This window comes from Homo sapiens, chromosome 15 (genome assembly GCF_000001405.40).
Source record: "Homo sapiens chromosome 15, GRCh38.p14 Primary Assembly".
NCBI classification, from domain to species: domain Eukaryota; kingdom Metazoa; phylum Chordata; class Mammalia; order Primates; family Hominidae; genus Homo; species Homo sapiens.
The window spans coordinates 75,510,273-75,526,234 of NC_000015.10; the positions used below are offsets into that span (position 1 = coordinate 75,510,273).

Below are 15,962 nucleotides of genomic sequence, written 5' to 3' on the forward strand. Positions count from 1 at the left end.
GATCTTGCTGTTGCCCAGGCTGGAGTGCAGTGGCACAATCGCCACTCACTGAGTCCTGTACCTCCCAGGCTCAAATGATCCTCCCACCTCAGGCTCCCAAGTAACTGGGACTGCGCCACTACACTTGGCTAATTTTTGTATTTTTAGTAGAGACAGGGTTTCACCATGTTGGCCGGCTGGTTTCGAACTCCTGATCTCAAGTGATCCTCCTACCTTGGCATCCCAGAGTGCTGGGATTATAGGCATTGAGCCACTGCTCCTGGCGTGAAGTTCTTAATTTTCAAATGGTTAAATGTATTACTGTTTTCTTTTCTGGTTAGTGTGTTGTGTGTCTTAAATCCTTTTCTATTTTAATGTCAGAAAAAGTACTTTTTTTTTTTTTTACTGCTGTACCACCGATTCCACCAATGTGTATTAATTTTTCTAATTTGGTTTTTTATTGTAAAATATACACAACAAAATTGACCTTTTAAACCATTTTAAGTGTACAATTATTGGCGTTAAGTATGTTCACAATGCAGCCATCACCACTATTCATTTTCAGAACTATTTCATCATCACAAACAAAAACCCTGTACCCATTAAATAACATCTCCCTATTCCCTTCTCCCCCTAGTCCCTAGTAACCTTGGTTCTACTTTCTGTCTCTATGAATTTGCCTATTTTAGGTCCTCGTATTATTGGAATCCTACTATATTTGTCCTTTTTTGTCTTGTTTATCCTACTTAGCATAATGTTTTCAAGGTTAATCCATATTGTAGCATGTCTCAGAATTACATTGCTTTCTAAGGCTGAATAATATTTCCTCATAAATATACCACATTTTTCTTATCTATTAATCCGTTGATGGACATTTGGGTTGTTTCCACTTGTACACATTGGTTGTTTCCACTTGTCCAGATTTGAGGAGCTATTTTCCACATTGTTTCCACTTGTCCACATTTGAGGAGCTATTTTCTTTTAAAAATTTAAACTTTTGTTTTTGTCCTTTTTTTTTGAGACAAGTTCTCACTCTGTTGCCCAGGCTGGAGTACGATGGCACCATCATGGCTCACTGTAGCCTTGACCACCCAGGCTCAAGTGATCCTCCTACCTCAGCCTCGCAAGTAGCATGTGCCACCATGCCTGTCTAATTTTGTATTTTTGTAGAATAAAAATACAAATGGTTTCATCGTGTTGCCCAGGCTGGTTTCAAACTACTGGGTTCAAGCAATCTGCCTGCCTTGGCCTCCCAGTGTTGGGATTCCAGGTGTGAGCCTCCATGCCTGGCCTGTTTTTGCTATTTAAGACTTTAACCTATCTGAAGTTGATTTTTGAACATGGTATGAGATGTAGGAATCTGACATTTTTTTCTATATGGGTAGCTGTTTTGTTTTCCACCTTTACATATTAAAAAGTCCCGTCTTTCCCCAACTTAGACTTTCTATTTGTCAGTTTTAACAAAGTCACAATATCCTGGGGAATAAATATGACATAGGTAATTTAATTAACCATGTAACCATCATTCTGATTATTCAGTTTGTTTTCAGGCCTAAATAATCCTGATATGCTCATTTTATCTTTTCCTTTTAATTTTTTTTTTGAGACTCACTTTAATATTTTTTTTTTTTTTAGTCTCACTTGGTCACCCAAGCTGGAGTGTAGTGGCACGATATCTGCTCAAGGGTTCAACCAATTCTCCTGCTTCAGCCTCCCGAGTAGCTGGGATTACGGGCGTGTGCCATCACGCCTGGCTAACTTTTTTGTATTTTTAGCAGAGATGGGTTTTCACCATGTTGGCCAGGCTGGTCTCGAACTCCTGGCCTCAAGTGATCCGCCCATCTTGGCCTTTCAAAGTGCTGGGATTACAGGCATGAGCCACTGTACCCGGCCTCCTTTTAAATTATTTTAAGAAGCTGTTTCTAAGACTGGGATTATTTGGCTAAAGATTATGAATATTCTTTTTTTTTTTTTAAGACAGGGTTTTATCAACTGGGCTGGAATGCAATCATATGATCATAGCTCACTGCAGCCTCATATCCTGGGCTCAAGTGATCCTCCTGCCTCAGCCTCCTGGGTAGCTGGGATGATAGGCACACACCACCACATGCAGCTAAATTTTGTACAGTCAGGGTCTTGCTACGTGGCCTAGACTGGTCCTGAACTCCTGGCCTTAGGCAATTCTCCCACCTCAGCCTCCCAAAGGGCTGAGATTATAGATTTAAGTCACTGGAGCCAGCTTAAGGTATTATTTTTAATTATCTAAAATAAATGTGCAGTAAATACTCTTTTTATATTTTCCTGATTGTTTCCTTAGCATATAATCTCAGAAATACAACTGATCAAAGGGTATGTGCATTTTTAAGGATTTATAATGCCAGATGCCTTCCAAAAGGTGTTAACGACTTACTGAACTGACAGTATATGAGGGTGCTATACAGTCATTTATTTATTTGAAAAACAAACAAATCTTTATTGTCTAGAAATATATATTTTTAAAATCCCCCAGAAAAGACGCTATTCTCTCATTTCCCCATCCTCTTCCTCTTCCACACCTCTGAGACAAAGGACATTATTATACTTTAGTAAAACTTCATCCAGATGTCCAGACAATACCCCAACTATGTATTCTTCTGTATTTGCAAGCTACATGTTCTTATAGATACATCTGTAGATCTGGTTCATCTACAGATACCAGTTAGCCTTTGTAATCCATTCGCCACTTAAGTTTCACTGTCACTGGCTTTTCTGTTAATCCCTTGAGGAAAGGTTTGGGATTGAGGGGTAAATCCTTTATAACCACAGGAGAATGCTGCAGGCTATTCGCTGCTGACCAAGCTGCCACCCATCCCTGGTGACTGCAGCAGGTACCCCCAGACAGTCATGTAAATAGACTAGGCCCAGGTCTGCAGTTCTTTGCTCTGAAAAAAGAGACGTAATAGCTTCTACTTTTTATTTATCATTTTGTGGAAATAACAGGTGTTTTCCTAGAATGGTTTTTGATTTGCTGGTAAAAGGACCTTGGACATTTAGGTCCTGAAATAAATTGTTGCATCTTTGAAGGAAAAGATGAAAGTAGTTTATCACACTTCAGTGAAGAGGCCTTTGGAGAAGTTTGTTCTAGATGCTGTATATTCTCCATAGAGGAGTGCTGGGGTTTCTCCAAATCAGTAGAACTAAAGGGTAACTGAAGAGAACAGAGTGACATGTCAGATTGAGAATCAGTCTTTTGAGGCTGGGCGTGGTGGATCACACCTGTAATCCCAGGACTTTGAGAGGCCAAGGTGGATGGATCACTTGAGGTCAGGAGTTCGAGACCAGCCTGGCCAACATGGTGAAACCCCATTGCTACTAAAAATACAAAAATTAGCCGAGTGTGGTGATGAGCACCTGTAATCCCAGCTGCTTGGGAGGCTGAGGCAGGAGAATCACTTGAACCCGGGAGGCGGAGGCTGCAGTGAGCTGAGATCAGGCCATTGCGCTTCAGCCTGGGGGACAGAGAGAGACTCCATCTCAAAACAAACAAACAACAAAAAAGAATCAGTCTTTTGAAAGTGGCAAAAAGGGCTGGGCACGGTGGCTCACGTCTTTAATCCTAGCACTCTGGGAAGCCAAGGCTAGTGGATCACCTGAGGTCAGGAGTTAGAGTCTAGCCTGGCCAACATGGCAAAACCCCATCTCCACTAAAAATACAAAAATTAGCTAGGTGTGGTGACGAGCACCTGTAATCCCAACTACTTGGGAAATTAAGGCAGGAGAATCGCTTGAACCTGGGAGGCGGAGGTTGCAGTGAGCCGAGATAGCACCACTGCACTGCATCCTGGGCAAAAGAGTGAAACACTCTGTCTCAAAAAAAAAAAAAAAAAGAAAGAAAAGTGGCAAAAAGAATAGGCTAGAAGATACTAGCTACAATTCCTCTTTTTTTTTTTTTCTTTTGGATTTCTCAGGAATGATTTCTTCCTAGTTAGACCGCCAGTGTTGCATGGTAACCACACCCATGAAAAGGGCCGGAATATTGAAAAACTGCATGAAACTAAGCGCTGTGGGTCGGGCACAGTGGTTCACGCCTGTAATCCCAGCACTTTGGGAGGCCAAGGTGGCTGGATTGCTTGAGCTCAGGAGCTTGAGACCAGCCTAGGCACCATGGTGAAACTCCATCTCTACAAAAGATACAAAAATCAGTTGGGTGTGGTGGCACATGCCTGTAATTCTAGCTACTTGGGAGGTTGAGGCATGAGAACTGCTTGAACCCAGGAGGTGGAGGTTGCAGTGAGCCAAGATCGTGCCACTGCACTCAGCCTTGGCAACAGAGCAAGACCTGGTCTTAAAAAAAAGGAACTTCTGTTAGTCAAAGAGCTTCATAAAAAGTGAAAAAACAAGCTATAAATTAAGAGACAGTTTACTGTGCGCACACATTATATGTGTGTGTGTATATATGTATCTTCATGGATTAGAATAATATATTAAAAACTATTAATTTCTAAATGGACAAATCATAAATAGACATTTCACAGAAGAAGAAAAAATATATAGCTAACGAATATATGAAGATATAGTTAATTTCACTAATAAAAGAAACGCAAGCTATACCACAAGATACCATCTCATATCCATTTGATTGGGAAAAAAATTAAGAAGTCTGACATTAGTAAGTGCTGGAGAGGATGTAGATCAATGGAAATCTTCACACATGGCAAGGGGGTACGACTGCTTTGAAACACAGTTTGACATTGTCTTATAAAGTTAAATCTTCACAGACTTTAGGACCCAACAATCTACTCCTAAGTGTATACCCTAGAGCATGCATTCTCAATGGGGGAGATATCACCTCACCAAAGGGGTAAAATTAGTAGGAGAGCAGGGTGAGGTGAGCCAGAATAAAAAAAAGAAATCGGGCCAGGTGCAGTGGCTCACGCCTGTAATCCCAGCACTTTGGGAGGCTGAGGCGGGCAGTTCACAAGGTGAGGAGATCGAGACCATCTTGGCTAACATGGTGAAACCCCGTCTCTACTTAAAATACAAAAAAATTAGCCGGGCGTGGTGGTGGGCGCCGTAGTCCCAACTACTCTGGAGGCTGAGGCAGGAGAACGGCGTGAACCTGGGAGGCGGAGCTTGCAGTGAGCCGAGATCGTGCCACTGCACTCTAGCCTGGGCGACAGTGCGAGACTCCGTCTCAAAAAAAAAAAAAAAAAAAAGAAATCTTACACTTTTTATGTATACAGAGTACATAAAGAGGCCAGGCACAGTGGCCAACACCTATAATCCCAACACTTTGGGAGGCCAAGGAGGCGGTACTGCTTGAGCCCAGGAATTCAAGACCAGCCTGGGCAACATAGCGAGACTCTGTCTCTATTTAAAAAATAAGGCCAGGCGCAGTGGCTCACGCCTGTAATCCCAGCACTTTGGGAGGCCGAGGCGGGTGGATCACCCCAGGTCAGGAGTTTGAGACCAGCCTGGCCAACGTGGAGAAACCCCGTCTCTACCAAAAGTACAAAAATTGGCCGGGCGGGGTGGCAGGCGCCTATAATCCCAGCTATTCAGGAGGCTGAGGCAGGAGAATCATTTGAACCGGGAGGTGGAGGTTGCAGTGAGCCGACATCGCGCCACCGCACTCCAGCCTGGGCGACAAGAGCAAGACTCCATCTCAAAAAACATAAAAATAAAATAAAATAAAACAAAATAAAATAAAAAATAAATTTTAAAGAGTACATAGAGATATGCAGTATGTTTATGGTATTAAAATTTCATTAGAAGAGGAATTATTAGGGGAAAAAATATTTAAAAAGGCTCCTTAGTGAGGCAACAATGAAAAAAGGTTGAGAAACACTCCCCTAGAGACCCTCTTACACATATGCACCAGAAAACATGTTTAAGAATGTTCATAACAGCACCATTCATAACACAGGTTGGGTATTCCTTATCCAAAATGCTTGGGACTAGAAGTGTTTCAGATTTTGAATTTTTTTCAGATTTTAGAATATCTGCATATACATAATTAGATATCTTGGGGATGGGACCCAAGTCTAAGCAGGAAATTTATGTATGTTTCTTCTTTTTTTTTTTTTTTTTTGAGACGAAGTCTCACTGTGTCGCCCAGGCTGGAGTGCAGTGGCACGATCTTGGCTCACTGCAAGCTCCGCCTCCCGGATTCACACCATTCTCCTGCCTCAGCCTCCCAAGTAGCTGGGACTACAGGCGCCTGCCACCAGGCCCGGCTAATTTTTTTTTTTTTTTGTATTTTTAGTAGAGACAGGGTTTCACCATGTTAGCCAAGATGGTCTTGATCTCCTGACCTCGTGATCCGTCCGCCTCAGCCTCCCAAAGTGCTGAGATTACTGGTGTAAGCCACCATGCCTGGCCTAAATTTATGTATGTTTCATACACACCTTATACACATAAGTATGCCTCAGATTCCCAAAGTGCTGGGATTACAGGCGTGAGTCATGGCACCCAGCCCATCCCACTTTTATGACTCAGAATGTTCCTGTGCTTTTTTTTTTTTTTTTTTTTTTGAGACACAGTCTCGCTCTGTCGCCAGGCTGGAGTGCAGTGGCACAATCCCGGCTCACTGCAACCTCTGCCTCCCAGGTTCGAGCGATTCTCCTGCCTCAGCCTCCCGAGTACCTGGGACTATAGGCACGCGCCACCACACCCAGCTAATTTTTGTGTTTTTAGTAGAGACAGGGTTTCACCATGTTGGCCAGGATGGTCTTGATCTCTTGACCTCATGATCCACCCACCTCGGCCTCCCAAAGTGCTGGGATTACAGGCATGAGCCATGGCGCCTGGCCGTTCCTGTGCATTTTTTACCCGAATTCCTCCCATTTCACTTTTAAGATCATTTCTTGTTCTAAGGAAGCAGAGAGTAGTCATCATTTACAGATGACCTTTACATTGAACATAATGTCTGAAGTTTGCATCTTTCCTAAATCTTTTCCCAAAGAATTAAAAAAATATATATATCCCAAGCATTGAAGGAAACTTGAGAGGGCCCTCCATAGCCTTACCTTCAGCAGGTTTAGGACTTTCTTGCCAAGATCCAGCTCAAAGTTGGCATAATTAGAACCACACATGTCATAGATAAACACCAGTCCATTCCTCTGAGTTTCAAAGCTGTAAATCAACCATTGAACAAAAACATTTGTAAGTAAGCAGATGGATGAGGCAGGTTGAAAGCCTAATGCCAAAACAAAACCTGAGAGTATGAGACACATCTAGGATCAAAACAACTGCCTGACTGCACACTGGTCTTACAAAAAGATCTCTTATCTTTGGTATCTGCTATGTTTATTAAGGCAGATTTATCCAGATGTACCAAATGCCAAACTCGTAGGTTGAGAATGCTCTACAGCAACTAAGTTATCAAAATCTGAACTGTTTTCTCCCACCCCTCTGAATCTACCTACCCAAATCATATAACATATTCCGTACTCAACCCCAAAGTTTCCTCTTCCATGAAAGTTTCCCTGATAACTGTAATCAAACATGCTACCAATTGTTTTTTCCCTTAAAGCCCCATAAATCTTTCTGTGGATTTTTCTTGTGGCCTTAATAAACTCTGTATAGCCATCTGATTCTCTCCTAAAGGACAAGAACTTGTTGTTCCACTCATTACGCCCAACAATCCCTAGCACAGCCCTTAAAAATAAATGGTCACTGAATTGTAATTCAGTAGACTGGAAGCCCATCTCTAAGAAAATATTTCAGACCTGTGAAAAACTGTGTAGAACAAAACTGCCTCTAAGCTCATTGATAGTAAATTTGTCTCTTATGACCCCATGGAGGAAGAGAACAAACCCATAAATGGCCTTTGGAAAGCATTCCTAAAAAGTAGATTAAGGCTGACATAGTGGTTCATGACTGTAGTCTCAGTACTTTGGGAGGCTAAGGATGGTGGATAGCTTAAGCCCAGGAATTTGAGACCAGGCTGGGCAACATGACAATACCTCATCATGTAGTGACCTATAGTCTCAGCTACTTGGGAGGCTCAGGTGGGAGGGTCACTTGAGCCCAGGAGGTCGAGGCTACAGGGAGGTCATGCCACTGCACTCCAGCCTGGGAGACAGCGTGAGATCTTGTCTTAAGAAAAAGTAAGACTGGGCGCAGTGGCTCACGCCTGTAATCCTAGCACTTTGGGAGGCCAAGGCAGCTGGATCGCTTGAACCCAGGAGTTCAAGACCAGTCTGGGCAACATGGCAAGACCCTGACTCTATTTAAAAAAAAAAAAAAAAAGAGGGAAAAGAAAGAAAAAAAAGTAGATTAACAGGTATTAATAGTAAGCCATGGCTGGGTGTGGTGGCTCACACCTATAATCCCAGCACTTTGGGAGGCTGAAGCAGGTGGATCACCTGAGGTCAGCAGTTTGAGACCAGCCTGGCCAATATGGTGAAGCCCCATTTCTACTAAAAATACAAAATTAGCTGGGTATGGTGGCACATGCCTGTAATCCCAACTACTTGGGAGGCTGAGGCAGGAGAATTGCCTGAGCCCAAGAGGCAGAGGTTGCAGTGAATCGAGATTGCACCACTGCACTCCAGCCTGGGCAACAGAGCGAGACTCCATCTCAGGGGAAAAAAAAAAAAAAAAAAGTAAGCCTATTCCCAGACCAAACTGAGGAACATTTGAAGATACAGAAAGTATTCCTCAGTCCAATTTCCCAGATTTATAAAGATTTCTCAAAGATGTACTCTTCCACCAAGCCAGATCCGTACTTATATGTGATCTGCAGACCCAAATGGTCATTAGGATAAATTATTTGATTGGACTACTCACAGATGACAGCAAGAGTTTTCACATCTATTTAGAATTGAGAAAATGTTTGGCACAAAACTCATTCCTGAAATCAGGAGTCTCAAAGTTATTGTTTTTTGTTTTGAGACAGAGTTTCACTCTTGTCACCCAGGCTGGAGTGCAACGGCGGGATCTCGGCTCACTGCAACCTCCGCCGCCCGGGTTCAAGCAATTCTTCTGCCTCAGCCTCCCGAGTAGCTAGGACTACAGGTGCCCACCACCACACTTGGCTAATGTATTTTTAGTAGAGACGGGGTTTCGCCATGTTGGCCAGGCTGGTCTCGAACTCCTGACCTCAGGTGATCCACCCACGTCGGCCTCCCAAAGTGCTGGGATTACAGGCGTGAGCCACTATGCCCAGCCTCAAAGTTATTTTGTATCTTACTATTTTTGCACCAGCACCTCCTGGGAACCTCCATATCTTCATCCCTTTAACAAATTCCAAGGCAGAAGCACCCGCCCATGAGCTAACATTTCAAAAATGTCTAATTCTGAGGTACATGAAAGTTTCTCCAGCAGACTTAGTTTCAACTGGCACCTAATGTGTTACATTAGTGTTAAATCTTTACTCCTTTTTCTTATTTATTTCTTTACTTATTTTTTAATTTTTAGTAGAGATGGGGTTTCATTATGTTGCCCAGGCTGGTCTCAAACTCCTGACCTCAAGTGATCTGCCCCCCTCGGCCTCCCAAAGTGCTGGGATTACAGGTGTGAGTCACTGCGCCCTGCCCTTGACTCCTTTTTCACAACCCCAGAGAGACTATGATCCACAAAGGTCCAAGATGCTGTTAAAATGTGTGGCACAGGACAGGTCCAGTGACTCACACCTGTAATCTCAGCACTTTGGGAGACTGAGATGTGAAGACTGCTTGAGGCCAGAAGTTCGAGACCAGCCTGGTCAACAGAGTGAAACTCCGCCTCTACAAAAAAATTTTAAAATTGGACGGGTTTATTAGTACGTGCCTGTGGTCCCAGCTCCTTGGGAGACAGAGGCAGGAGGATCATTTGAGCCCAGGAGTTGAGGCTGCTGTGAGTTATGATGATGCAACTGCACTTCAGCCCGAGCAAAAGTGAGACCCTGTCTCTTAAATAAAAAGAAACAAAGAAAATGTGTGGCACAATTATTGAATAGGCTATCCAGATCTAGATACTTTCTATTTCTCCATGAGCTCCTCAAGGGTCAAATTCAAATTATGGGCTTTCCCCTCATGACTCCAGGTTGTGGCAGGGGACTAAAACAAAAACAAGTCAGTGAGGGGGCAAAGAGAATTTAAAAAAAAAGAAGCTTGGATGCATAATGAATGATCCAGGTTCTATATTCCCAGATCAAAGTGCTCATCCTGTGAAGGCACATAAAACATGAATGCAGTAAGATTTTCACACTTTAGGGTATAGAATAGATAGATAGATAGATAGATAGATAGATAGATAGATAGATAGATGTGTGTGTGTTTATATATGTGTGTATATATATACATATACTTTTTTTTTTTTGAGACAGAGTTCGCTTTTGTTGCCCAGGCTGAAGTGCAATAGTGCGATCTCTGCTCACTGCAACCTCCGCCCAAGTTCAAGTGATTCTCCTGCCTCAGCCTCTCGAGTAGCTAGGATTACAGGCACCCACCACCACGCCTGGCTAATTTTTTGTATTTTTACTAGAGACGGGGTTTCACCATGTTGGCCAGGCTGGTCTCAAACTCCCGACCTCAGGAGATCCACCCCCTTGGACTCCCAAAGTGCTGGGACTACACGCGTGAGCCACCAGAATATATATATTTTTAAGACAGCATTTTACTCTGTTGCCCATGCTGTAGTGCAGTGGCACAATCATGGCGCACTGTAGCCTCGACCTCCCAGGGCTCAGATGATCCTCCCAGGGCTCAGGTGATCCTCCCAGGGCTCAGGTGATCCTCCCAGTTCAGCCTTCCGTGAGTGTCTGGGACTACAGGCAAATACCACCATGCCTGGCTGCCTAATTTTTAAACTTTTTGTAGAGACGAGGCCTTGCTATGTTGCCCAGGCTGGTCTCGAACTTCTGGGCTCAAGCGATCCTCTCACCTGGCCTCCCAAAGTGTTGGGATTACAGGCATGAGCCACTGCACCCAGTTTAAGATTTACAATGGGCCGGGCACGGTGGCTCACGCCTGTAATCCCAACACTTTGGGAGGCTGAGGTGGGTGGATCACGAGCTCAGGTGATCGAGACCATCCTGGCTAACAAGGTGAAACCCCATCTCTACTAAAAATACAAAAAAAAAAAAAAAAAACGGGCGTGGTGGCAGGCGCCTGTAGTCCCAGCTACTCGGGAGGCTGAGGCAGGAGAATGGCACGAACCCGGGAGTCGGAGCTTGCAGCGAGCTGAGATAGCGCCACTGCACTCCAGCCTGGGGGACAGACCGAGACTCCGTCTCAAAGGAAAAAAAAAATAAAAAAAATATTTTTTTAATTCTTGAGCTACATGTTACAGAAAACACCAAGAAGTTTAAAATACAGTCCCTGACATTGGTTTTAAAAAAACGGAGAAGCCAGATGCAATGGCTTATGCTTGTAATCCCAGCATTTTGGGAGGCCGAGATGGGAGGATTGCTTAAGTCCAGGAGTTCAAGACTGCAGTGAGCTACAATCATGCTACTGCACTCCAGCCTGGGTGACAAACCAAGCCCTAGTCTCAAAAAACAAAAAAGAAAGAAACTGAGGATAGGAGATCCATGAGGGGCTACCAATGAAACAAGACTGTTACAGATCACTTTGAAGAAGACGGATGATGGATATGTGGATGTTCACGATACCATTCTCTCTCAACCTACAGAGATTCGGATGTTAAAAAGAAAGTTTCCTGCCCTCAAGAAGCGAGTGGATTCATCATGTTGCCCAGGGCTGGTCTCAAACTCCCGGGCTCAGACAATCTGCCCATCTCAGCCAACCAAAGTGCTAGGATTACAGGCATGAATCAATGCGCCTGGCCTCAATATAGCACTTCTAATCCGGAGGACCAGCCAAAGATGTCGAGAGCAGTAAGAAACTGTAAATTACAAGCACCAGGGAAAAAGGAATAGCAGAACAACAGCATGGGAGGACAGAAATAACTCTGCCCAAGAGTGAAGAAACCAGGATCTTAGAACCAGCTGGACTAACATATGATGACTGTAAAAAACTTCTTGGGGCTTGAGTTTAATTGTCAATTGAATTGTAACAATACCAATTACCTTAGCAGGAAGAGAGTGATGACCTGAGCTGGTTCTTTATGCTTATGCACCTCTTTTTATTAAGGATGGTTTTTGCTTAACTTTATACTTCTGGGCTTCTCCCTGAATGTTTTTTTGTTGTTGTTGTTTGTTTTGTGTGGGCTTTTTTGTGGGGTTTTTTTTGAGACAGGTCTTGCTGTGTCACCCAGGCTGGAATGCAGTGGCGTGATCATGGCTCACTACAGCTTCACCATTCTGGGCTCAAGTGATCCTCCCACCTCAGCAACCTCCCCCACCTCCCCCAAGAAGCTGGGACTAAAGGTGCACGCTACCACACCCAGCTAATTTTTTGTATTTTTTATCAGAGACAGGGTTTCACCATGTTGTCCAGGCTGGTCTCAACTCCTGGCTTCAAGCAATCCACCTGCTTCAGCCTCCCAAAGTGCTGGGATTACAGGTGTGAGCCACTGCACCCAGCCCTCCCCTGAATGTTGAGTCTCAAAATCCTCTGAACTAAACGGCATTATTCCTGTTATGCAGACAAAGAAACTGAGGCCTTAGAGGTTCTGATATGAGCAAAAAGAACCAGCACAGGTCATCTCCCCCTCATTCTTTTCCAATAAGTAGTTTTCCATACACTGAAGATTGCCGATAATTGACTTTCTCAGCTTCTGTTTTCCTGACATAGAGCCAAGGTGGTAAAGAGAACGCCCACCATCTTGATAGTGCCTGCAAACATGCCGAGTTCTAAAGGACATGGATTGTTTTCTATTCATAGCATTGCCCAGGGCACATCCTAGGAGAATGGCGAAGGCACTGCTGAATTTAATCAAGTAAAAAACTGTCACTTTCCTACCTGCATGTAGAATACCTAAAAAATAATCTCAATGCTTACCTATCCACAGCTCTGTCTAGCAAGTAAAACAGAGCCTGAAGTACCACATGTTGGACTGACTTGTGGGGATGATGCAACCTGGCAGTAAAGAGGGCAATGGAGGCTCCTGTTGGGTCCCGAACATTCTAAAGCAAATAAAACAAGAAACATTAAAAAAATCAAATAGAAAATCACAGCAATTACTAAGACTTATATACTGGATAAGGGTTTGATACATGTAGAAAACAGATGCTAACAATAATTCCCTGACTTCACCAATTGCTGTCCAAAGGGAAGAGTGTTAATATCATCCTTTGTCTGATTCTCCCAGGACTCCCTGGACCATATTTCTGTGGTAAGAAAAAAAAAACACATTCTCTTTGCTCTTCAACTACAGACAGATCAAAGGATGGCTGTGCACTGGCTTCCTAGCTAACTTCCCTGGCAGAATGGCAAAAGAAACAAGCAGCAGGAGAGAACCAGGGAACAGGACCATGATTTCCACCCTCTGCCTTAAAAGTGCCATTGTATGTTTACTTGAAAGGCTGAGGTCTCAACTAAGTGGAGAGCTTGCGTTAAATATGGAAGCATGGGTGTCTGACACATTGCATATCTCTCCCAAAGACCATGACTAACCTTAATGGACCAACTGAAGAAACTTTTCTAAGTCTACTGTACAACTGATTTTCCATAATTCAATTATTCAATTATCATTAGTAACTCTAATTACTAGAAACTATTAGTAATTCAATTGTTACTAAAATAATTTTATACCAAACTGCATGGCTGTTTCACATCTGCTCCTAACTGTGGAGACTCTCTAGATTCAGGATAAGGTATATAGGAACAAAGTCCAAACAGGGGGGGATGGAGGAGGGATAGCATTAAGAGATATACCTAATGCTAAATGACGAGTTAATGGGTGCAGCACACCAACAAGGCACATGTATACATATGTAACAAACCTGCACGTTGTGCACATGTACCCTAAAACTTAAAGTATAATAATAATAAAATTAAAAAAAAAAAAAAAAAAACAAAGTCCAAACAGGACACCAGTTAAAAAAGGAAGTAATAAGGCCCTACAAGATAGGTCCCTAAACACTCACTAAGATGGTGAATTTTCCACTGAGGATCTCAGAACGAAGAGGTTCCTCATGAGGTTTCAGCTTTACAATGCCTTCCTTCCTTCGAGTTTCCTAAAAAGGAAGCACAGCAAAATGTATTAATATGAAAATACTGTATATCCAGGACAGCACCATGTAACCACCAAATCTCAGAGATAAGGTGGTTATCAATGAATGAATGAATTATAAATTTCATAACTAAATAAATTTTGTAACTAATTTCATAACCAATTCTACTTCATTTAGTTGAATTAGAATTCAATTAAATGGGCCGGGCGCAGTGGCCCACGCCTGTAATCCCACCACTTTGAGAGGCCAAGGCGGGCAGGTCACCTGAGGTCAGGAGTTCGAGAGCAGCCTGGCCAACATGGTGAAACCTTGTCTCGGCTAAAAATACAAAAATTAGCCTGGCATGGTGGTGCGCGCCCATAATCCCAGCTACTCAGGAGGCTGAGGCAGGAGAATCGCTTGAACCCAGAAGGTGGAGGTTGCAGTAAGCCAAGACAGCACCACTGCACTCCAGCCTGGGTGACAAAATGAGACTCTGTCTCAAAAAAAAAAAAAAAAAAAAAAAAGAATTCAGCTAAATGAATAATGAAGTCAACTAAATGAATTATGAATTTCTTTGTAACCTGCCTCCAAGCCAGTCAAGCATTTTCGGAATTCCTGTCCAAAGCTACTTTATCAGCCCCTCAGGTAGGGTATTTTTCTCTGACTCAGTAAGAACCCTAACCCTGAAGAGTAACCAGTATGTTACATTCAGGTGCAGGATCAAGGTTCTTAAACACGCAGCAGCACTGACATGGTACCAGGACACTAAAATATGGACCTCAAAAATGTCTGGATGCCTACGTTCTCACATATTTTCTAGGTTTAGGCCTCTCCTATGTTTAAATAGGAGCCTTCTCTCCACCTGATATTGTCTCCAACAGCAGCTACCATGACTTCATTTTCCTCACCCTGATGGCCAGATTCTTTTTTTTTTTTTAATTGAGACCAAGTCTCACACTGTTGCTGAGGCTGGAGTGCAGTGGCATGATCTTGGCTCACTGCAACCTCCACGTCCAAGAGATTCTCTTGCCTCAGCCTCCTGAGTAGCTGGGATTACAGGCACGTGCCACCATGCCTGGCTAATTTTTGTGTTTTTAGTAGAGACGGGGTTTTGCCATGTTGCCCAGGCTGGTCTCCAACTCCTGGGCTGAAGCGATCCACCCGCCTCGGCCTCCCAAAGTGCTGGGATTACAGGCATGAGCCACCGCGCCCAGCCTCTTCAGTTCTCCTCTTAAATGACAAGGTTGACCACCTACACTTCCTTTTTCCGGAGACATTCTCTACCTTTATATACCGATAACAAAAAAATATTATCTTGGTTTGTCTTATTTCATCAACCGCTTGTTTTAAACCTCTTAGGCTGGGCACGGTGGCTCATGCCTGTAATCCCAGTACTTTGGGAGGCCGAGGTGCGTGGATCACTTGAGCTCAGGAGTTCGAGACCAGCCTGGGCAACATAGCAAAACCCCGTCTCTACTAAAAATACAAAAAATTAGCCAGGTATGGTGGTGCATGCCTGTGGTCCCAGCTACTCGGGAGGCTAAGGTGAGGTGGGAGGATCACTTGAGCTCAGGAGGCAGAGATCTGCAGTGAGCTGAGATCATGCCACTTCACTTCAGTCTGGGAGACACAGCAAGACTCTGTCTCAAAAAAAAAAGTGCTTCCACAGAATCCAGTGCTGCCTTATCATAACATTTCTACAACTCTTTGTTTATTTTCTCTTTCTTTTTTTTTTTTTTAAACAGTCTCACTCTGTTGCCCAGACTGGAATGCAATGGTGTGATCTCGGCTCACTGCAACCTCCACCTCCTTGGTTCAAGTGATTGTCCCTCCTCAGCCTCCCGAGTAGCTGGGAATACAGGTGCCACTACACCCAGCTAATTTTTGTAGTTTTAGTAGAGATGCGGTTTTGCCATTTTGTTCAGGCTGGTCTCAAACTCCTGACCTCAAGTGATCC

General features: G+C 43.5%; 1 protein-coding gene and 1 pseudogene across 1 annotated transcript in view; both read right to left on the bottom strand.

Moving 5' to 3' along the window:
* The window catches only part of PTPN9 (protein tyrosine phosphatase non-receptor type 9), a 116,065-nt gene that overhangs the window by 47,022 nt on the left and 53,081 nt on the right, over nt 1–15,962 (bottom strand). The window contains exons 3-5 of the mRNA NM_002833.4: nt 13,937–14,026; nt 12,849–12,973; nt 6,987–7,092 (exon numbers count right to left, since the gene is read on the bottom strand). Coding sequence (NP_002824.1) covers nt 6,987–7,092; nt 12,849–12,973; nt 13,937–14,026 — 321 coding nt within the window. The remainder of the gene's footprint in view (nt 1–6,986; nt 7,093–12,848; nt 12,974–13,936; nt 14,027–15,962) is intronic.
* On the bottom strand, nt 2,432–2,857 carry LOC107984720 (small nuclear ribonucleoprotein F-like; annotated as a pseudogene).